The sequence below is a fragment of the Homo sapiens genome, chromosome 1 (assembly GCF_000001405.40).
Source record: "Homo sapiens chromosome 1, GRCh38.p14 Primary Assembly".
Lineage (NCBI taxonomy): Eukaryota > Metazoa > Chordata > Mammalia > Primates > Hominidae > Homo > Homo sapiens.
The window spans coordinates 1424334-1443487 of NC_000001.11; the positions used below are offsets into that span (position 1 = coordinate 1424334).

The 19154-nt window shown below is 64.1% G+C and overlaps 3 protein-coding genes and 1 long non-coding RNA gene across 7 annotated transcripts, besides 10 other annotated features; 3 read left to right on the forward strand and 1 right to left on the reverse strand.

Annotated features, from left to right (window-relative positions):
* Positions 1063 to 1928: an enhancer, noted in NCBI's record as "H3K27ac-H3K4me1 hESC enhancer chr1:1360776-1361641 (GRCh37/hg19 assembly coordinates)". NCBI's record gives its function as "activates a minimal SCP1, AML or CMV promoter by ChIP-STARR-seq in naive H9 embryonic stem cells {active_cell/tissue: H9 hESC(naive)}" and the evidence as "EXISTENCE:reporter gene assay evidence [ECO:0000049][PMID:30033119]".
* Positions 1538 to 5922, forward strand: TMEM278 (transmembrane protein 278). The gene is made up of 2 exons (NM_001146685.2): positions 1538 to 2052; positions 3221 to 5922. Exons 1-2 carry the CDS (start codon positions 1795 to 1797, stop codon positions 3452 to 3454), a joined length of 492 nt encoding a protein of 163 aa, NP_001140157.1. The 5' UTR covers positions 1538 to 1794; the 3' UTR covers positions 3455 to 5922.
* LINC01770 (long intergenic non-protein coding RNA 1770) lies at positions 5824 to 10240 on the reverse strand. 3 transcript variants are annotated; one of them, NR_125996.1, is made up of 2 exons: positions 9855 to 10240; positions 5824 to 6329 (listed from the first exon to the last, which is right to left on the reverse strand). It is a non-coding gene; the product is annotated as a long intergenic non-protein coding RNA 1770 (long non-coding RNA). The 3 variants fall into 3 exon arrangements; NR_125995.1 differs by having other exon boundaries at positions 9845 to 10240; NR_125994.1 differs by having other exon boundaries at positions 5824 to 6621; positions 9845 to 10240.
* Positions 8036 to 8779: an enhancer, noted in NCBI's record as "H3K27ac-H3K4me1 hESC enhancer chr1:1367749-1368492 (GRCh37/hg19 assembly coordinates)". NCBI's record gives its function as "activates a minimal SCP1, AML or CMV promoter by ChIP-STARR-seq in naive H9 embryonic stem cells {active_cell/tissue: H9 hESC(naive)}" and the evidence as "EXISTENCE:reporter gene assay evidence [ECO:0000049][PMID:30033119]".
* Positions 8900 to 11216, forward strand: LOC107985729 (uncharacterized). Its single transcript, XM_017003066.2, has 4 exons — positions 8900 to 8955; positions 9630 to 9738; positions 9863 to 10069; positions 10203 to 11216. Exons 1-4 carry the CDS (start codon positions 8900 to 8902, stop codon positions 10815 to 10817), a joined length of 987 nt encoding a protein of 328 aa, XP_016858555.1. The 3' UTR covers positions 10818 to 11216.
* Positions 10116 to 10410: a silencer, noted in NCBI's record as "tiled region #8235; K562 Repressive non-DNase unmatched - State 8:EnhW". NCBI's record gives its function as "represses a minimal TATA promoter and a strong SV40 promoter by Sharpr-MPRA in K562 cells {active_cell/tissue: K562}" and the evidence as "EXISTENCE:reporter gene assay evidence [ECO:0000049][PMID:27701403]".
* Positions 10116 to 11011: a biological region, named in NCBI's record as "Sharpr-MPRA regulatory region 8235".
* Positions 10268 to 11011: an enhancer, noted in NCBI's record as "H3K27ac-H3K4me1 hESC enhancer chr1:1369981-1370724 (GRCh37/hg19 assembly coordinates)". NCBI's record gives its function as "activates a minimal SCP1, AML or CMV promoter by ChIP-STARR-seq in naive H9 embryonic stem cells {active_cell/tissue: H9 hESC(naive)}" and the evidence as "EXISTENCE:reporter gene assay evidence [ECO:0000049][PMID:30033119]".
* Positions 10271 to 10330: an enhancer, noted in NCBI's record as "active region_18". NCBI's record gives its function as "activates an Ori minimal core promoter by ATAC-STARR-seq in GM12878 lymphoblastoid cells {active_cell/tissue: GM12878}" and the evidence as "EXISTENCE:reporter gene assay evidence [ECO:0000049][PMID:35858748]".
* Positions 11157 to 11526: a silencer, noted in NCBI's record as "silent region_74". NCBI's record gives its function as "represses an Ori minimal core promoter by ATAC-STARR-seq in GM12878 lymphoblastoid cells {active_cell/tissue: GM12878}" and the evidence as "EXISTENCE:reporter gene assay evidence [ECO:0000049][PMID:35858748]".
* Positions 11285 to 11474: a silencer, noted in NCBI's record as "fragment chr1:1370998-1371187 (GRCh37/hg19 assembly coordinates)". NCBI's record gives its function as "represses an EF-1alpha promoter that drives an FKBP-Casp9 reporter gene in an ReSE screen in HepG2 liver carcinoma cells {active_cell/tissue: HepG2}" and the evidence as "EXISTENCE:reporter gene assay evidence [ECO:0000049][PMID:32094911]".
* VWA1 (von Willebrand factor A domain containing 1) lies at positions 11357 to 18549 on the forward strand. 2 transcript variants are annotated; one of them, NM_022834.5, is made up of 3 exons: positions 11357 to 11488; positions 12594 to 13151; positions 14748 to 18549. In NM_022834.5, exons 1-3 carry the CDS (start codon positions 11416 to 11418, stop codon positions 15452 to 15454), a joined length of 1338 nt encoding a protein of 445 aa, NP_073745.2. In that variant the 5' UTR covers positions 11357 to 11415; the 3' UTR covers positions 15455 to 18549. The 2 variants fall into 2 exon arrangements, with proteins under 2 accessions (NP_073745.2, NP_954572.2); NM_199121.3 differs by having other exon boundaries at positions 12989 to 13151.
* Positions 16480 to 16529: an enhancer, noted in NCBI's record as "active region_19". NCBI's record gives its function as "activates an Ori minimal core promoter by ATAC-STARR-seq in GM12878 lymphoblastoid cells {active_cell/tissue: GM12878}" and the evidence as "EXISTENCE:reporter gene assay evidence [ECO:0000049][PMID:35858748]".
* Positions 17146 to 17295: an enhancer, noted in NCBI's record as "active region_20". NCBI's record gives its function as "activates an Ori minimal core promoter by ATAC-STARR-seq in GM12878 lymphoblastoid cells {active_cell/tissue: GM12878}" and the evidence as "EXISTENCE:reporter gene assay evidence [ECO:0000049][PMID:35858748]".
* Positions 18550 to 19154: the final 605 nt, after the last annotated feature.

Consider the following 19154-nt stretch of genomic DNA (forward strand, 5'->3'; position numbering starts at 1 on the left):
GCCTGGAAGGTGTTGGAAGGGATGGAGCCCACTAGAAGGCCTCACAGGGAACGGCTCAGCTCACAGACACCTACTCCTGTCAATTAATTATGAACACGGAGCTGGAGGCTGGGCATAGTGGCTCACGTCTGTAATCCCAGCACTTTGGGAGGCCGAGGCGGGCAGATCACCTGAGGTTAGGAGTTTGAGACCATCCTGGCTAACACGGTGAAACCCCACCTCTACTAAAAATACAAAAATTAGCCGGGCGTGGTAGTGTGCGCCTGTAATCCCAGCTACTCGGGAGGCTGAGGCAGGAGGATTGCCTGAACCTGGAAAATGGAGGTTGCAGTGAGCCGAGATCGTGCCATTGCACTCCAGCCTGGGAAACAAGAGCAAAAAATTCCTCCTCGACAAAAAAAAAAGAAAGAAAAGAAAATGGAGCTGGAACTGCTGACGTGCAATAAAGCCCTGGGAGACGGACAGACGTCAGGGACTGTGCTGGGCGCGGGGGCTGATGCCTGTCATCCCAGCACTGTGGGAGGCCCAGGCAGGCAGATCACTTGACACCAGGAGTTCCAGACCAGTGTGGGCAACGTGACAAGATCCCATCTCTACAAAAAATACCAAAACTAGCCGGGCGCGGTGGTTAGGTGCCTGTAGTCCCAGCTATTTAGGAGGCTGAAGTGGGAGGACTGATCGAGTCCAGGAGGTCAAGGCTGCCGTAGCCGTGATTGAACCACTGTACTGCGGCCTGCGTGACAGAGTGAGACCCTGTCTCAAAAAAAAGTCAGAGTCGGGAGTAACGTTCAGAGAAAATGCTTGGGGTTTTGGATGGGAAAAGTTTTGCCCCTGACTAGAAATGATGGGCTGGGCGCCGTGGCTCACGCCTGCAATCCCAGCACTTTGGGAGGCCAAGGTGGGCGGATCACAAGGTCAAGAGATCGAGACCATCCTGGCTAACACAGTGAAACCCCGTCTCTACTTAAAAAAAAATACAAAAATTTGCTGGTCGCGGTGGTGAGCGCCTGTAGTCCTAGCTACTAGGGAAGTTGAGGCAGGACAATCACTTGAACCAGGTATGCAGAGGTTGCAGTGAGCCGAGATCGTGCCACTGCACTCCAGCCCTGGTGACAGAGTGAGACTGTCTCCAAAAAAAAAAAAAAAATGATGGAACACAGGTTCTTGTCCTGGAAAATCTGCCTTTCCTCTGCTCGGGATGGCTGGGTTCAGACGCGAGGGTGCCTGTGGTCCCTGGCAGCCTGCTGAGTGCCTGCCGTGTACGGGCCCCACACCCTGCGGCTCACGCGCATCCCAGGTCCCCTCTCATCCACTCTGAGACGCAGGCGGAGGACACCGACAAGGTGTTCAGATGAGGGAGCAGCGGGGCTGGGGCTGGGACAGGGGGTGGGGGGCTGGCCTCCAGGTGGCAGCTACTGATGGGGCAGCTACCGGAGTCAAGCCCTTTGAAATGAGGTCTTTGTGTGGGGGAGCTGCAGCCCCGCCCGGCACAGGGAGGGAGGCGGCCCCGGTGGGAAGGGCCCTGCAAGGCCTGCCCAGAGCACCAGGAGCTGGCTGGGGCTGGAGACTGGCGCTGCTGGAGCTGCAGCTGCCTGGCAGAGGGGAAACTGAGGTGGGGGTGTGGCTCTGGGACAGACATCAGGGCAGGACCTCCCTAGCCAGGGTCCACGGTCTGGCTGGGGGATGTGGACTGGCTGCAACGTGGGGCGGGGTTAAAGGTCTTCCAGGGCAGCCCTGGAGAGCACCACTCTGCATTGAGCACCGCCCGGGCCACAGGCCTGCAGTGGCAGGAGCATGAGTGAGCAGGGGAGGGAGACGGAGGAGGAGGAGGGGGGAGGTGGTGCTTCCGACACAGCGCCCATGCTGCCCCGGGGACCTCCCGACCACCAGGCCTCAGCCCTGACGTGCCCAGGGTGGTCGGGGCCCCCGCTGCTGCCCGGCCGGCTGCTGGCCGGGCTCCTGCTGCACCTCCTGCTGCCCGCCGCAGCCTTCCTGCTGGTGCTCCTGCCCGCGGCCGCCGTCGTCTACCTGGGATTCCTGTGCCACTCGAGGGTGAGCCTGTGCCCCGTGGGCGGGGGACTAGCTGGGGTCCTGGGGAGTGGGCGTGCCCTGGGTCTGAAGGCACTGTGCCCCCTTCCAGAATTGCCCCTTGTCCTCAGAGACACGTGTGCCCCTCCCTGGCAGCCCCTTCTCCCAAGCACCCCCACCAGCCACAGCCAAAGAAGAGCTTTTGTTTTTCACCCAAGGGACAGCTCTGTCCCTTCCCTGAGGCCTCCCAGCCTTGTACCAGGGGCCACCAGGGCCTGGACAGCTGGGTGGGGGTGGGGAGAGAACGGGGTTCCAGGAAAAGAAGATGAAAATGTCGTTGAAGTTTCACTAACCCACAGCCCCCAGCCCCTCCCCAAACACACAAGGCCCCTCCCAGGCCCTCCTGCCAGCGTGGGGCTTCCCCACCTGCAGAGTGGGCTGTGGCCTGCTCTGGGCCCCGGGCCCCTTTCTGCTGGCACGGGGGCTGGCGCCAGCTGGTGATGAGAGGGCGCAGGAGGGCAGAAGCGGGCAGAACGCGGCAGTGGGCGCTTTTTCTGAGCCTCCCCTCAAGGGACCCTGCTCAGCCCTTTACCTGCTGCGTCCCGGATCTCCTGTTCACCCCTCAGCACTGCCTGGCCCACAGCGGCCCGCCCCCTCCCCTCTCCCCGCCCTGCCTCTCCTTCGCCCAGGCCCTAATCCTTCATCCCTCCATCTCCCCCCTCCCTCTTCCCGCCCTGCTCAGCCCGCCACGGCCCCTCTACCGCCCCGCCCCGCTCTTTCATCTCTATCGCCCACTCCTCTCTCCCGCCCTGCACCCCTCCGTCTCCCTTTGCCGTGGCCCTGCATCCTTTCCTCCACCCCGCTCTCTCTCCCCTCCCCGCTCCACCCTGCTCCCGCCCATCCATCCCTCACCGTCCGGCCCTCACCGCCCCTTCATCACCCTGACCCACCCACACCCTCTCCTCCGCGCCTCCCCTTCCCCTCCATCACCCTGCCCTGCCCCTTCCCCTCCATCACCCTGCCCTGCTCCCCTCTTCTCCCCCTTCCCTCCATCATCCCGCCCGCTCCCCTCTCCACCCCTCCCCTTCCCCTCCATCACCCTGCCCAGCCCCCTCCCCTCCATCACCCTGCCCTGCCCCCAGCCCTCCATTACCCCGCCCCGCCCCCCACTGACGGCCCGCCCGGCCCCCAGGTCCACCCCGCTCCGGGTCCCCGGTGCCGCGCGCTGTTCTCAGACCGCGGCTCCGCGGCGCTCATCGTGTTCGGGCTTCTCTCGCTGCCGCCGCTGCTGGTGCTCGCCTCGGCCGTCCGCGCCCGCCTAGCCCGGCGCCTCCGCCCGCTGCTGCCTCCGCCCGCTGGGACCCCCGGACCCCGCCGCCCCCCGGGGCGCCCCGACGAGGACGAGCAACTCTGCGCCTGGGTGTGACCCGGCGGCCGCTGCGAAACCCCGGGAGGCCTCCGAGCTCGCGCGCGACCCCATCGCGTGGCCCGGCCCGGAAAACTGAGGGTCGCCCCCGCTGCCCCTTCCTGGCTGGGCGCGCAGCGCTCCCGGCTTACGACCCCGGCCTCCCCCGCCCGCAGCCCCGCCCCCGCCACGGAGGGCAGGGGAGGGGAAGAGAGGGGAGGGGAGGGGAAGAGAGGGGAGGGGAGGGGGAGAGAGGGGAGGGGAGGGGAGGGGAAGAGGGGAGGGGAGGGGAAGAGAGGGGAGGGGAGGGGAAGAGAGGGGAGGGGAGGGGAAGAGAGGGGAGGGGAGGGGAAGAGGGGAGGGGAGGGGAGGGGAGGCAAAGAGAGGGGAGGTGAGGGAAAGAGAGGAGAGGGGAGGGGAAGAGAGGGGAGGGAAGGGCAGGGCAGGGCAGAGCCCGGCAGGCAGCCCTCAGAGGAGGGGCGCAGGCCCCAGCCCAAGGCCTCCCGCGCCTGCCCAGGTCCCGGCCTCCATCGTCCAGGGCTCTGGGGCTCCCAGGGGAGACACCCACGCTCGGCCAAGCCCAGGGTTCCAGAAGCCCAGGGGTGGCGGCAGCCGGGCTCAGCCTATGGCCAGGCTCGCATTCAGACATGCGCCAGCCTCGGTCGGCTCTCTCCGGGAGACACTAAGATCTCCTCACTGACTTTGGTGTTCCTTGGTCTCACCAGCGCGTCCTAGCTGTGCCGAGCTCACACCCACCCTGTTTGGTGTAAGCCACAGGTCCACAACGTTCATCAGCTCTGGAAATCCCTCAACAATTGTGTCCAGTTTCACCACGAATTCCTTCTCCATATCCTCACCATTTTCTTTTACCCCCTCATCAAATTACTCCCTTCCGTCTAATCTGCTGATTAACTCATTCATTTTATCTTAAATTATTATGTTAACATATCCAGGCCAGGCACGGTGGCTCACGCCTGTAATCCCAGCACTTTGGGAAGCCGAGGAGGGCGGATCACCAGCTCAGGAGATCCAGATCATCCTGGCTAACACGGTGAAACCCCGTCTCTACTAAAAAATACAGAAATTAGCTGGGCTTGGTGGCGGGCACCTGTAGTACCAGCTACTCGGGAGGCTGAGGCAGGAGAATGGCGTGAACCTGGGAGGCAAAGCTTGCAGTGAGCCAAGATCACGCCACTGCACTCTAGCTTGGGCGAAAGAGCGAGGCTCCGTCTCAAAAAAAAAAAAAAAAAAAATTAGCTGGGCGTGGTGGTGGGCACCTATAACCTCAGCTACTTGGGAGGCTGAGGCAGGAGGATCGCTTGAACCCAGGAGGCAGAGATTGCAGTGAGCCGAAATCATGCCATTGCACTCCAGCCTGGACAACAAGAGCAAGACTCCATCTTAAAAACAAACAAAAAAACAACAAAAAAAATTAGCTGGCCATGGTGGTGCACACCTGTAGTCCCAGCTACTCAGGAGGCTGAGGCACAAGAATCATTTGAACACTGGAGGCAGAGGTTGGAGTGAGCTGAGAGGGTGCCACTGCACTCCAGCCTGGGTGACAAAGTGAAACTCCATCTCAAAAAAAAAAAAAGGTTAGCATATCTAAAAGTTACATCTGATTGTGTTTTAGATTTGTCTGATTTTTTTTATGGTCTCTTGATACATGCTTGCTTTTTAGATTACAGTTTCCACTTCTTAAACATATTTCATATATAGTTATTTTATATTCTGTACTAAATAATTCCAGTGTCCTAGTCTTTGGGGGTCTAAATCTGTGACTGGTGTTTCTGCCGATTCTCATCAGTAGCATGGTGTTTCTCTGAACGTTTGGTTGTTTAATTGTCAGCTGTTATCGGAGACAATTCTGAGGTCCAACTTGGGGATGCTTCCCTCCAGAGACTATTCCCCTTTTCCAGGCGAGACCACCCTCGGCCCCCTCAGTGACCCTTGAGACCCCTGGTTTAAGCAGCCCCTAGGCAGAGAAACATACTTGTTCCCTGGCCGCAGGCTGGCTCTCTGTCCCTGTGTGTGTCCAGGGAGTTATCTGCTTTCCCAACCACTTCCCTTCATCATCCAGGCCTCCACACTACTCTGTCTGTTTGTTTACTTAGAGACAGAGTCTTGCTCTGCCGCCCAGTCTGAGTGCAGTGGTGAGCTCCTAGCTCTCTGCAGCCTCGCCCTCCCAGGCTCAAGTGATCCTCCTGCCTCAGCCTCCCAAGTAGCTGTGACTAGAGTGCACCACCACACCCAGCTAATTTTAAATTTTTTTGTAGAGACGGGGTCTCATCATGTTGCCCAGGCTGGTCTCGAACTCCTAGGCACAAGCAATCCTCTCGCCTCAGCCTCCTAAAGTGTTGGGATTACAGGCATGAGCCACCCCACCTGGCCTTATTTATTTTTGCTGTTTAATTTTGGGGGAGACTCGGAGATATTTACTTTCTTGGAAACACAACAGTCTATTAAAAATGTACGCTCATAGTAATTCATCCAGAAGTTGGTTGTTGCTGGAAGGCCTTTTAAGGGATCTAGTACATCATATTGCCAGCAGGGCTCAGCCTGTGACCAGCAAGGTCTGGGCTCCGTCTGGGGCCAGGGTCAAGGCTCATTCCGTGGCCTTGAGCACAGCCTGGTGTGTGGCTGGGTCGAGTCCAGCAGAAGTCTCGGGGTTTTCCAGCCTCCATCCGAGTCCGGCTTTGATGCCTTTCCTGGTCAGACAGGAGCCGGGCCAGTGGCCAAGCTGCCAGGATGGCTTCCCCGGGGCCGCGGCCGCCTTCCTTCCCCTCCTGCCCGGGCTGGCTCTGGTCGCCACTAGGGGTTGAAGATGAGGGCTCTCCTGGGAAGCTCTTGGCTGAGGATCCGCCTGGTCCCGGAGCCGTGAAAACAACAGCTGGGCCTGGTGGGGGTGGGGAGGCTGAGCGGAGAGGCCAGCTCCCTTGGCTGCTGGGCAGGGTCTTCTGTCCACAGCTGCCTCAGGCGGCTGTTTCCAAAGGTGTTTCCAGCTTCCCAGGCCCACCCTGAGGCCCCGCACCGCCAGGGAGGTGGAAGGCACGGAGCAGCGAAGCCCGGCCCCGGCCCCGGCCGCCCGACCAGCTCACAGAGGAACACCTGTGGGGGGGCCTGTGGGCGGTTCACAGAGGGATGTAGGAACGTGCCTGTGGGAGGCCGTAGCCCCGGAGAGCAGAGGCCTGGCCGGCGGAAGAGAAGCAAGGAAGGGGCGATTCAGGAAGGCCAGAGCCCGAGTGCCGGGGCAGGGGCCCCACCCCCTCACCCCCTCACCCCCTCACCCCCTAGGACAGAAGAGGCCCTCCGTTGGAAGGCAGGGGCCCCACCCCCAGGACAGAAGAGGCCCCACGTTGGAAGGCAGGGGCCCCACCCCCTAGGACAGAACGGGCCCTGCGTTGAGGCCCCTGGGTTCTTCCCCCGGGTTCTTGCCTGGCCCCTTCCATGGATCCTAAGCAGCTCCCTTATCGGCCACCATCTGGGAAGCCAGGAGGGGGGCATGAAATGAGGGGGAGGTGGGGCCCCCAGCCAGGGTTCCCCTCCTCAAGGCCCCAGGTATACAGTTGGCCTTTGCCCAGCCCTTCTAGCCCCTGCAGGGGCAGGACCCCACCTGGACCCCATGAATCTCTCCCAACTTTTGCCCAGCATGGTGTCCCTGACCGAAACCCCTCCACTTCAGGACCCTGGGTCCCCAGGCCCGCCCCCACCCTGAGGGTGCCTCTACACCCCTTCCCCCAGAGCCCCTTCCCCCAGCCTGAGGGCCAGGAGCAGCCTCCCTCTTCCTGCAGTCTCTACCACAGCTCTCCACTGGCCCAGGGGCCTGAACTCCTTGGGTGCAGCCGAGCTGCAGGGTGGCTGTGGGGACCTCTGCTTGGCGTTCTTTCCCGGTGGCTGAGGCCCCTGCCCTGCCCAAATGGGAGCCCGGAGTGTGTGTGTGTGGCTGTGTGTGTCCCATCTGCGTCCCTGTCACACGTCATGCCGGAGCAGGGGAGGCAGTAAGGGGCCCCACCCCACTGGATGCAGTGGGCTTCCCACCTTGCCCGGTGTCATTTCCTGATTTGCAAAATATTTCCTGGGAGCAGAGTTGTTGGCAAGCACAGCCTCAGACGGTGTGAGCAGCTGGGGGACCCCTCAGATGTGGCTCCCTCTGTCCCTCCGGCCTGTGCTGGCCTGCCCCTGCCCCCAGGCCTGTAAGCTGGGCAGGCTGTGGGGCAGGAACTCCCCAGGGTGAGTGGGCTGGTCTGAGGGCTAAGGCCCCTGCTCCCAGCTCCGCCCCACCCGCCTCTGGGAGTCCCTTGTGGTGTGTGGACATAGGTCAGTCCCTCCCTGCTGCCTCCTCCCTATCCCAGTCCAGGCCCCTGGGAGTTTTGCGTCTGCCCAGGGCTGTGGCCTGGGCCTGTCTGGACTGTGTCTGGGGAAGGGGCAGCATGTGGTCCTCCTCTCCCTTTCAGGGAAGGATGTCCCAGCAGAGAGGCAAAGTGAGGGGACCCACACAAGGAAGGGGCCCTGCTATTAGGAAACCCTGGGTCATTCAGGCCTGCTGCTCTCCGGCTCCCACCGGGCCGGGCTCTGTCCTCGCTGTGACGAACCTCCTGCCCCTGTCGAGGCCGGCAACACCCTCCACCCGGCCACCCCTCCCGAAGGCCCCCAGCCTGCTCTGCCCCTGCAGTCCTGGCGCAGGCCCCTCCTGCCCACCCCACCCTGCTCTCAGCACTCGCGGTTCCTTCTCTCTGCCTGGAAGGCTCTTCCTCGGGTACCCCTTGCGTGCGAGTCCCCAGTGACCCCCTGTTCTCACAGGGAAAACAAGTAGACCGTATCTTTCCTAGCTGTTCACCGCCCACCCTCCTAGCCTGGCAGTGCTGGCCCGGCGCCTGTGTGTCCCCAGCACTGAGGCTGGGGCGCGGCTGTGCCCAGCACACAGACGAGGGATGGATGGACAGACGCAGATGGTGCAGCTCCCACCCCTACCCAGGCTGCTACCCGCCAGGTGTCTACCCGCCACCCCAGCTGCTGCTGGCACGGGGGACTGAGGGGGGTCAGCTCTGGGGCCAGAGGGGCAGGCCTGGGCTCCTGGGAAGTGAAAAGTGACCCCCGAGGCCCCCAAGACCTGTCCTTGACCCCAGTGAGCAGGTTGAGTCTAGGAGCTGCGTGGGCCCTGCTCTCTTGGTGACCCCTGCTCTGCCCCACTTACTGTTGTGGGGTGGGCTCAGGCACACCCCAGAGCAGTGCCTCAGGCCCGCACCGCTGCCCCTCACCGCCGCTGCCCCTCACCGCCGCTGCCCCTCACCACTGCTGCCCCTCACCGCCCCGTCCATCTGCTCCTGTGTGTGCTTGAGTACGTTTGTGAGATACGTGAAAACAGCAACAAAAGGCGCCGGGTGCGGGCCTGGGCGTCCTGCCCTCAGCTCGGGTCAGGGGTGGGGTCAGAGGCCTCAGGAGTTGCCCTTTTACCCAGGGTCAAACATGACCACAGCCAGCTGGGGACAAAAGGCCCTTCATCTTCTGCAGAAGCCTGGATTGTGCGGAGGAGGGAGCATTCCCAAAGGCGGGTGGGGGCAGGGGCGGTGCCCGGGTGACAGCAGCCTCCCCAGCTTCCTGGAACTCTCTCCACCTGCCTGCAGACAGACCGGCAGGGCAGGCTGGCTCCGGGAAGTGAGGCACAGGGACTCCCACAGCCCAGGCCCAGACCGTGGGGGCGGGGTGGCCGCAGCCAAACCAGGCTGCTCCCCACCCCATGGGGCCCCAGGCCACCAGGATCAGACAGGGGCTGTGCCTGCAGGAGGCAGAGGGCTCGGGGCCAGCACCCACTGTGATCTGGCCTGACCCGTCCTTGCCTCTGCCTCTTACCCCGGGCCCTTCTCCCTGGAGAGTGGAGGGTTCCGGCTGTTATATTTGTGCTTCCTCCGGTGTCTGCCTCAAGTCCGGCCCGGGCCCTGACACTGCACCTCTGGCTGACCCCATGCTCTCTGGGACCCTCTGTCCACGTCCCTCCTCCGGGGTGGAGACAGCGGGGGGAGGGCAGGACACAAGAATGAGTCCTGAAGACTGAGGGGCACGGGGAGAGCTGATGGGGAGGGTCTCCTAGCTGGAGGGACTCCAGGCAGAGCCGGGAGCAAGGCAGGTGGCTGAGCTCGGCCCAGGCTGGGTGGAGGCCAGGCCTCCTGTGCCTTCTCCCGCTGATGGCGAGCTGAAGGGAGGAGGGCGGCCGCTTCCTTGAGGGCCTGAGTCACAGCCAAGAAGACCCGCTCACTTTTTCCAGAAGTGAGGGAAACTTCCCCGTCAGCCCTGCAAGGCTGGCTGAGGTGTGACTGTGGCCCGCCTGCTGGGCGAGGGTGGGGGACAAGCGGGCCACTGGCTGTGAGCCTCCCCAGGGTGGGGGACCCTCGGCCCAGCTCCCTGCCTGACTACCTGGACGTGCCTCCGCAGGGTCTGCAGCCAGCTTCCGGTCAGACCCCAGGTCCTCCAGCGGCTGCGGCCTTCAGCGTCATCTCCACGGCAGCCCCTGTGTACTGGGGGCTGGGGGGCCTGGCGAGGCCCCTCGAAGTGGTACAGCTTGCACTCTGGGGACCCAAAGTCCCCCCACCGGGCCCAGGCGGAAGCACCAGGCATTTCTGGTCCCAGCCGAGGTCTGAGGTCTGTGGAGCGCAGCCAGCACCTCCACTGCCAAGATCCCCGGCAGGGGGGGTGGGGGGCGCCGGCGGGGACACAGCTCTCCCTTGTTCCTGCCGCCAGCTCCTCAGCCTCAGCCTGCTGCTTCCTTTTTTAGGCAAAGTCGAGTGCTGGCCGTCCGCACGGCCCCGCGGTGTCTCACCTGCCTGAAAGGGAGGAAGGAAGCCTGTGGAGCCCCATCCGTTCTCCCGCGGCGCATCCTCCAGGAGAGGGTGGGGAAGGAGGAGACATCCTGGCAGACACCCCCCCACGTCCCCCACCTCCCAGCTCTGAGCTGAGGAGGCCCTGGAAGAGGGCCATGGCTACTCCGAGGGAGGGCCGGGGTAGGGTTCTCCTGTCCAGGGGACACTGCTGGCCCAGCCCCACCCAAGCAGGGGAAATCTGCCCTGGGAGCCACTGTCCCTCAGGACGCCCCCTGCAACCAGCCACCTCTCGTCTGGGCCTCACCAAGACCCCAAGACTCAAGAGCTCCTGTCTCACCAGTGGGACCCTCCAGTCCTGCTGGGGGTGTGTCCTGGGTCCTGGAGTCTGGGCCCCTCACTGGGTAGGGTATATGGGTAACAGGCCCAGTGTGGTCCCACTGGACAGGGCCTCAACCAACCATCTCCCACTCCCATGCCTCTTCCTCCAAGAAGCCCAGGTGGCGTGGGTGCTTCGAGTCTCTCTCGAATTCCTGTCTTCTGTCCCCTTTCAAGCCACTGTGTCCTTGTAAGTTCCACCCCATGGTCCTTCCCATCCCTGCTGGTCAGTCCCTGGGATACATGTCCTGTTACTCCAGACACCTATCCGCCTCCAGCGCGGAGGCCAAGGCGAAACCACGGTCTGGACGTGTTTTTTTGGTGCCACCGCCAGCCCCTGGGGTTCTCTTGGGCCTGGCTGCTGGGACCCCAGCACCCAGAGTCACGGCAGTGGTGGGCATGGGGAGGGCCTAGCCTGGTACCTCCCTGCTCGGCTCCCGCGGCTGGGGGTCGGAGAGGGGTGGAGAGCGTGGGCCGCACAGCCTCGGCCGGGAGAGGGAGACTGGAGTGTGTGTGTGTGCGTGCCTGCGCGTGCGTGCCTCGGTCGTATCTCGGCTGGTGCTGCGTGTCCCTGCGTGTCGGGGTCCGCTCGTGCGCGCCTCTCCGGGGTCTGTGCGCGTGGCCCTCCGCTCGCGCCGGAGGGCGTGGGCGTGGCCTCGGCGTGGGTGTGGCCGCTCGGGGAGGGGCCTCCCGGGGGCGGGGCCGGCCTGGTCCGCGCGGTGACGCGCCCTGCAGCCCCGAGCGAGCGAGCGAGCGAGCGAGTTGCCGAGCGCGCCCCGTCCCTCGCGCGCGATGCTCCCCTGGACGGCGCTCGGCCTGGCCCTGAGCTTGCGGCTGGCGCTGGCGCGGAGCGGCGCGGAGCGCGGTGAGTGCGGCGGGCGGCCGGGCCGGGGCTGGGGCTTCTGGTGACCGCTCTGCGCCGCTGCCCGCGCAAGGCCGTCGCTGTCCCCTGCTCCGGACGGGCGGGCGGGCTGGGAGGCTGCGGGAGCCGGGCGGGGGCGCGGGCGGAGCGTCCTGCTCACCTGAGGCTGGCGGCCCAGGTGCTCCAGGCGACACCGTCCGTGAGCGCCGGGGCATAGGGGCCGTCCCGGCCCGCATCTCTGCGGGATCGCGGGCCTGGACAGGAAGAGGGAGATGTCTGTCAAGGGGGCACCCCTGCCTCAGTTTCCCTACCCTTGCGAGGGCCCTTAGTGGAGGGATGGTAGGGAAGTTGGAGTCGCCCCACCGCACTGGGGAAAACCGCAAGGCCGGGACTAGAATTGAGGCACGCTGGTGCCCTGGCTTGGTGGGGAGGGGCGGTGTAGGGGGCATCAGCCTCCACCCCGGAGGTGCCCGGAGGAAGGGGGAAGCCTGCGAGGGGCTGTTCCGGCTTTCAGGCTGCTGGGGGTTATATCTTGTTGTGTGAGTCCAGGTGGGCTGGAGGATGGAGGCCAGGGGAGGGGCCACCATCTAGTAAGCGGGGTCTGGGCTCCAGCCAGGCCATCCGGCGTGGTCATTGCTGTGCCTCCGACACCTTCCCCTGCTGCTGTGTGCATGCCCAGGGTGCCTCACCTGCAGGCTGAGCTGCGTGGCTGAACTCCAGCCTCAGGCTGCTCCTCTGAAAGCCATGCCTGGAGGGAACAGCCCCACGGCTCAGGCCTGTCCTGGGGGCCTAGGCCAGGACTCTTGGCTCCACCTGCTTGCAGGGTCTGTGAGGAATGGGAAGGTGTGGGGGCTTGGAGCGGAGAGTCGCCCTCTCACAGATGGGATAACACAAGCCCAGAGAGAGCCCTAGATCCCATGGCCAGTGTGCAGTGAAACCCCCAAAAGTACAGGCCTCTTGCTTAGAGTTCCTCTTTCCCCCAACCTAGGACCTTTGGGAGAAGGCAAGCATCCACTTAAGGAAAGCTGGGGCCCTGGGGGACCCTGCCTTGCTGTGGGGCTGTCTGGGGGGCCCACACCTGAGGCTGAGCATTCCTCCTTTCCCCCAGGTCCACCAGCATCAGCCCCCCGAGGGGACCTGATGTTCCTGCTGGACAGCTCAGCCAGCGTCTCTCACTACGAGTTCTCCCGGGTTCGGGAGTTTGTGGGGCAGCTGGTGGCTCCACTGCCCCTGGGCACCGGGGCCCTGCGTGCCAGTCTGGTGCACGTGGGCAGTCGGCCATACACCGAGTTCCCCTTCGGCCAGCACAGCTCGGGTGAGGCTGCCCAGGATGCGGTGCGTGCTTCTGCCCAGCGCATGGGTGACACCCACACTGGCCTGGCGCTGGTCTATGCCAAGGAACAGCTGTTTGCTGAAGCATCAGGTGCCCGGCCAGGGGTGCCCAAAGTGCTGGTGTGGGTGACAGATGGCGGCTCCAGCGACCCTGTGGGCCCCCCCATGCAGGAGCTCAAGGACCTGGGCGTCACCGTGTTCATTGTCAGCACCGGCCGAGGCAACTTCCTGGAGCTGTCAGCCGCTGCCTCAGCCCCTGCCGAGAAGCACCTGCACTTTGTGGACGTGGATGACCTGCACATCATTGTCCAAGAGCTGAGGGGCTCCATTCTCGGTATGCGGGAGGAGGCAGGGCCCAGGGAGCCCTAGCTGGGAGCCGCAGAAGGAGAGGCTGGGTTGAGACTTTGGGAAGATCTCATGTCCCCAGAGCAGCGGCCAGGGCCTCCGGGGCTGTGGTACCCCTAGGGTGCAGGGCTGAGTGATGCAGCTTGTCTATGCACACTCTTCACTGGGCGACCCGTGTACCCTGCTGAGACGGGGGCAGGCTTGAGTAGCCACCTCCAGGTGTAGCTCCCTGCTGATGTGTCCAGCCCAGACCTCGAGGCCCCAGGGAGTGCAGAGCCCGGGTGTAGGCCCAGGAAGAAGCTTCCAAGTCTGGGGACTCTGCAGATGGGCAGCATGTGCTCCTGAGCATGCCCACCATACCTGGAGAGGGGTGAGCCAGAAAGGTCAGGGACTGCCCCCCCAGAGAGCACAGGGCACCTCTCCTGGGTGGGGACAGCCGCCGAGGGCTTTGAACTAGTTCGGACTGCAGGCCCACTGTGAGGGTTTCCTGAGAGGCCGGACCAGGGAAGGCCTGAGGCAGGAGCTGAGCAGCTCCCATTGGCTTTTTTTCTGGACCTCCCTGCCCCAGCCAAGCCCTGAAGGAGCTGGGGCTGGAGATGAGGAACCGGCCACTGGCTCAGCCTGCTGCAGCCACTGAAAAATGCCAACCCTGGGGATCTCACCAAGTCTCCGTCTGTGGGTTAATCATCCACCCAGAGCCGGAAGGGGTTGGACTGTGGGTTGGAGAGGGGTGGACGGCCCTCCCCAAGGTTTCCCCAGGGACGTCTGGCCCCTAGTGGCCCCAGGTCACCCAGTGCAGCTGCGCCTGGAGGGGACCAGGAGGAAAGGCTGCCTTAAGCAGCCAAAGGAAAAGCCTGAGGCTGCAGTGCCGAGGGGCCAGGCAGCAGGGTGGGGGCTCCTGGGAAAGAGGCCGGGTCTGAGGGTGGGGGATGGGAAGAAAGTGGCCCAGGCACCCAGCACTGCAGGAGGAAGATCCTGATAGCTTTAACCCAGCGCAGACATTTATGAGCCTCGCCACAGCAGGGTCACTCAGAGGGCTATGTGGGGCTTGGTGTCACAGGTCCAGGAGTCCCCCTCTGGAGAACCCCACCCCACACTCTCCTGGGGACCCAGGGCAGGCAGCGCCTCCAGAACCCCAGGGCCTGCCCCTGTGGTCTCCCATCTCCTAGCTGCAGCTCAGAGAGCCGGGCTGACCTCAGACCCCGGCCTGGCCACTCAGGCTGGGGCTGGTCCTCTGCTCTCAGGCACCACCGTGGACTCTGCCGTCTTTGAGGACCTTTGTCCTGGTCACTGATCTGGCCACTGCACCTCTCCACAAAGGACTGGGTTTGGGGCTAAGGGAGGCAGGGGCGCTTCTGACAGGGCCTGAGGGGGCTGCACCCTTTCCTCCGTCCTCCCCCAGCCAAGGCACGTTCTGAGAATCCCCAGCATCTGCGGGGCATGGCTCCAGCAGCTCCTTGGCCGCGGGGCCCCGTCTTTCCTAGTGGGGCCTCCAATCTCCAGATCTTCCCCATCAGCCAGGGCCGCCCTCCAGCAGCGGAGGAGGAACTGACCGCTGTTCCCTGACCCCCTGCACCACCCACAGACGCGATGCGGCCGCAGCAGCTCCATGCCACGGAGATCACGTCCAGCGGCTTCCGCCTGGCCTGGCCACCCCTGCTGACCGCAGACTCGGGCTACTATGTGCTGGAGCTGGTGCCCAGCGCCCAGCCGGGGGCTGCAAGACGCCAGCAGCTGCCAGGGAACGCCACGGACTGGATCTGGGCCGGCCTCGACCCGGACACGGACTACGACGTGGCGCTAGTGCCTGAGTCCAACGTGCGCCTCCTGAGGCCCCAGATCCTGCGGGTGCGCACGCGGCCCGGTGAGGCAGGGCCGGGGGCTTCGGGCCCGGAGTCGGGGGCTGGGCCGGCCCCCACGCAGCTCGCCGCCCTCCCCGCCCCAGAGGAGGCCGGGCCAGAGCGCATCGTCATCTCCCACGCCCGGCCGCGCAGCCTCCGCGTGAGTTGGGCCCCAGCGCTGGGCTCAGCCGCGGCGCTCGGCTACCACGTGCAGTTCGGGCCGCTGCGGGGCGGGGAGGCGCAGCGGGTGGAGGTGCCCGCGGGCCGCAACTGCACCACGCTGCAGGGCCTGGCGCCGGGCACCGCCTACCTGGTGACCGTGACCGCCGCCTTCCGCTCGGGCCGCGAGAGCGCGCTGTCCGCCAAGGCCTGCACGCCCGACGGCCCGCGCCCGCGCCCACGCCCCGTGCCCCGCGCCCCGACCCCGGGGACCGCCAGCCGTGAGCCGTAAGCCGGCGTCCCCGCCCAGCCGAGAGGGCCGGCGCCTACCTGAGGGCCCCTGTGTCCCGAACCCGGAGCGGAGGCGCCCAACCCGGCAGACGGGTGCAGGCCCGGCCTTTCCCCACGCGGACTCCGCGCGACCCCGGCCCTCTCCCTGCGGCCGCAGGGCTTCCCCGCCTGGCGCCTGCCCTCCAGGGCTGGGGCCTCGCCTGGCGGGACCCCGCAGCAGCCCCGGCCCCATCCCCGCCCAGAGCCGGGCGTCGTGTGGGTCCGTGGGTGATAATTGAGAGCGTCAGACCCAGGACTGTTCAGGGAGGAGCCCCGGTCAGACTCCCACGTGTGAAGACCGGGCCCCAAGTGGCAAGGGCTGGCCTGGGGCGGGCAGCTTGGGTCCTGGACGTTGATAGGAAGCGGAAGGGGAATCGCGGGAAGCTGGCCCAGGTCAGGTCCGCAAAGGCTTCTGAAGAAGAGGAAGGGCGAGTAGGGGCACCTGGACGCTGATGGTGGCCAGGATGCTCAGCTGGCCAGGAGGGCAGCACCTGCTGGGGACGGTGGCCCTGCCTTCATGCCCAGGACACCAGCTGGGTCCAGCTAGCAGCCACTGGGAATCAGAGGAATGGGGCAGAGCTGGGCATTCAGGACCTTGAGGACACGTGACCCCACCCGCCCACCGCCACTATCAGGCCCCGGGACCGCACTGACAGGAAACCTTCCGTCGTGAGGGAGCACTTCCCAGGGGCCGCAGGGACGACACTCTCCAGGGAGGCCCCAGCAACCACACCATCTTCTTGCTGTGAGAGGTCTCACCCCGGGCTACCTCCTGTCACTACTCACTGCCCTGGGGTCCGTGGGCAAGTTGCCCAGGGTGGGGGTGCCTAGCCAGGTGCAGTCCCCGCCCCGCCTAGTCCTCGGCGTCACGCAATGCTCACCTCGCCTCTTCCCCACTAACATCCCAGACTTTAAAATTCAGTAAATCAGATGTACACCGAGCCTGCAGTCTCGCTAGGATGCTTTACTCCTCCACAAACAGCAGCCGCCGACAGGACAGCTTGTGAACGTCTCCGCCTTTTGGGGTGTCCGGGGAGAGGAGGTGGAGCTGTCCCCTCCCAGTGTCAGGCCTCCTTGGTCCTCATGTGCACCTTTTATTCAGAGAGCTTGGGCCCCCTTCCTTTGGAGCTGGGCCCAGGGCAGGTGGCTGGAATGCAGAGGACAAGGGGGCTGGGGCCTCTGCAGGGCCATTCCCACCGCAGTCTCTGCCACGGCCCGGAGCCCTGGGCCCAGGGCCACGCGGGCTCCCTCTGCTGGCAAAGCCACACCCTGCACCGCATGGGGTCCACTGCCCCTTTCCCCACGTGGACTCTGCGTGACCCCAGGAACTGCAGCATTGAGGTGGTCTCAGTCCCTCCCTCAGGTCTGGTGGGCATTGTGCCAGGGGCCACCTTCGGGACAGCTGGCCTTGGCACCGTCTCCCAAGAACCCAGCTCTGTGCATCCCGTGGCCCCACCAGAAACCCAAGGCCACACCGCCCACCAGCTGGGTGTGGTCACCATTCATGGAGGGCCGGCTGGGGCCAGGCTCACCACGCAGAGTTTGCCCTCCGGTGTGATGATGCATGAGACACAGTAGGCCCCCCTGCCTGTGTGTGCAGGGGGTGTCTGTGGGGGGGCCCTGCTGGCTGGACTTTGGGTTTCTCCTGAGCTCCCCTTAGCCCCCAAGTCAGGCCACGGAGGCCTGAGTAGGACCCATGGGCTGTGTGTGTCACTGCAGGTGGCGTGCTCACAACTGCACTGCTGGTCGGCAGGTGGCCAGGGTTGCAGGCCCGGGCCTCGGGCCCCACCTCCTCTGGAGGGGTAGGATCTCCTTCGTGCAGCCCCTGCCCCCTACCCTGTTCTCCGGAGTGTTGGCAGATCTGAGCCCACGGTCACGTGAGAGGAGATGCCTCTTGCACACTGAGCCCAGGCCCAGCTCACGGAGCACCCTGCAGGTGGCAGCGGGGCACCAGGGGCTCATTCCTGGTGGCCTCAGTGGCTTCTGTGGACGACTCAGACTCACATGAGAAGCTGGGAGGAGCTCCAGCTCTGCAATCCCGAGAGGGCAGAGCGGGGGCCCTGGCCACAACCCTGCTCCCCACATACCCGTCTGGCAGAGGCTCTGCCTCCCCTCTGCCCATCTCTGCACACCAAGGCTGAGCACAGCACAAGGCCTCACGGAGAGGGTGAAAAGGCACTGCCGTCTCCATCTCAGTGCCAAGGAATGCCCCTTTCAGAAGCCCTCGTCTGAGAAGTGCTGCCCCTTATGTAGCCCCAGGCATTTTAAAATCTTTGAATCTGCACCAAGTCTCAGAACAGCTCTGGCCCCGGAGTGCTCCGTCCAGGCCGCTGTGAACCGGCTGTCCCCGCGTCTCCTCCACCTCCCCTGACACAATCCTGGCCCCGACTCAGTCCACCCAGGGTGCAGTGCAGAGGCTGATACCCGCCAGGACTTCCTTGCCAAGGGCCCGGCCACGTCACAAGGCCACTGCACGCTTTTCGACATGCACCTGGAAATCGGGAAGGGCCATGCTGCAGTTGCTTCTAGTTGAGACGAGAAGAGCGACAAGGTTGTGATCCACGTGGCAGGTGTTCAGAAGGCTGGGGGCGGGCAGCGCTGGGGAGAGCCCTGGGTACTTCGAGGAGACCCCGAAGGGAGGCTGCTCCCACACCTGCGCCAGTTTCCACCCTCTCTGTGAGCAGGGCTGCGGTCACCTCCCACATCTGAAGAGAACCAACCTGAGGATTTCACGCTGGCTGCGTGCCAGACCAGTCCCTGACAGGTTGTGCGAGGCCCTTCGCTGGACAGCCCATTGCTGGCCACTGGACGGAGAGGCAGAGGGGGCTGAAATTCGGGCCCATGCCTCTGTGAGCGATGACGGAGCAACAGCTCTCCAGCACGTGAAGCTCTCCAGACAGCTGTTCGTGAGAAGCCAGACAGAGGCCTGGGGTCTCAGTCCAGATTTCTGGGGAGTGGGGTGTCCAAGCGTGGGCCACGCTGCTGGGAGCCACCTAGGGAAGCAGGTCGCCTGTTTCTATAGTGACGGTAATAAACCAAGTCAATTTTCTATAGTGACGGTGATAAACCAAGTCAATTTTCTATAGTGACGGTGATAAACCAAGTCAATTTTCTTTTCTTTTCTTTTCTTTTTTTGAGATGGAGTCTGGCTTTGTTGCCCAGGCTGGAGTGCAGTGGCACGATCTCGGCTCACTGCAAGCTCCGCCTCCTGGGTTGACGCCATTCTCCTGCCTCAGCCTCCCGAGTAGCTGGGACTAACAGGCGCCTGCCACCACGCCCGGCTAATTTCTTCTATTTTTAGTAGAGATGGGGTTTCACCGTGTTAGCCAGGATGGTCTCGATCTCCTGACCTGGTGATCCGCCCGCCTCGGCCTCCCAAAGTGCTGGGATTACAGGGGTGAGCCACCGCGCCCGGCCAAACCAAGTCAATTTTCTATAGTGACAGTAATAAACCAAGTCCAGTCCCCGAAGCACAGCCCACATGACAGCCTCCCGCCAGAGAGAGGACAGTTTAGGACTGTCAGCTCCCGGGCAGTAGCTGTGTGTTTCCTGCTTTTTTGGGGGGTGGGGGGAGACAAAGTCTTGTTCTGTCACCCAGGCTGGAGTGCAGCGGCGCAATCTCAGCTCACTGTAATCTCTGTCTCCCAGATTCAAGCGATTCT

What these genes read in the sequence shown, in the direction of transcription:
- LOC107985729 (XM_017003066.2), top strand. Translation starts at nt 8,900, where the DNA reads ATGACCACAGCCAGCTGGGGACAAAAGGCCCTTCATCTTCTGCAGAAG. An exon ending in CTTCTGCAGAAGCCTGGATT is followed by an intron (nt 8,956 to 9,629) that starts GTGCGGAGGAGG and finishes GGCGAGCTGAAG; the next exon opens with GGAGGAGGGCGGCCGCTTCC. An exon ending in GGTCCCAGCCGAGGTCTGAG is followed by an intron (nt 10,070 to 10,202) that starts GTCTGTGGAGCG and finishes TTCCTTTTTTAG; the next exon opens with GCAAAGTCGAGTGCTGGCCG.
- TMEM278 (NM_001146685.2), top strand. Translation starts at nt 1,795, where the DNA reads ATGAGTGAGCAGGGGAGGGAGACGGAGGAGGAGGAGGGGGGAGGTGGT. An exon ending in GATTCCTGTGCCACTCGAGG is followed by an intron (nt 2,053 to 3,220) that starts GTGAGCCTGTGC and finishes CCCGGCCCCCAG; the next exon opens with GTCCACCCCGCTCCGGGTCC.
- VWA1 (NM_022834.5), top strand. Translation starts at nt 11,416, where the DNA reads ATGCTCCCCTGGACGGCGCTCGGCCTGGCCCTGAGCTTGCGGCTGGCG. An exon ending in GCGGAGCGGCGCGGAGCGCG is followed by an intron (nt 11,489 to 12,593) that starts GTGAGTGCGGCG and finishes CCTTTCCCCCAG; the next exon opens with GTCCACCAGCATCAGCCCCC. An exon ending in GCTGAGGGGCTCCATTCTCG is followed by an intron (nt 13,152 to 14,747) that starts GTATGCGGGAGG and finishes CACCACCCACAG; the next exon opens with ACGCGATGCGGCCGCAGCAG.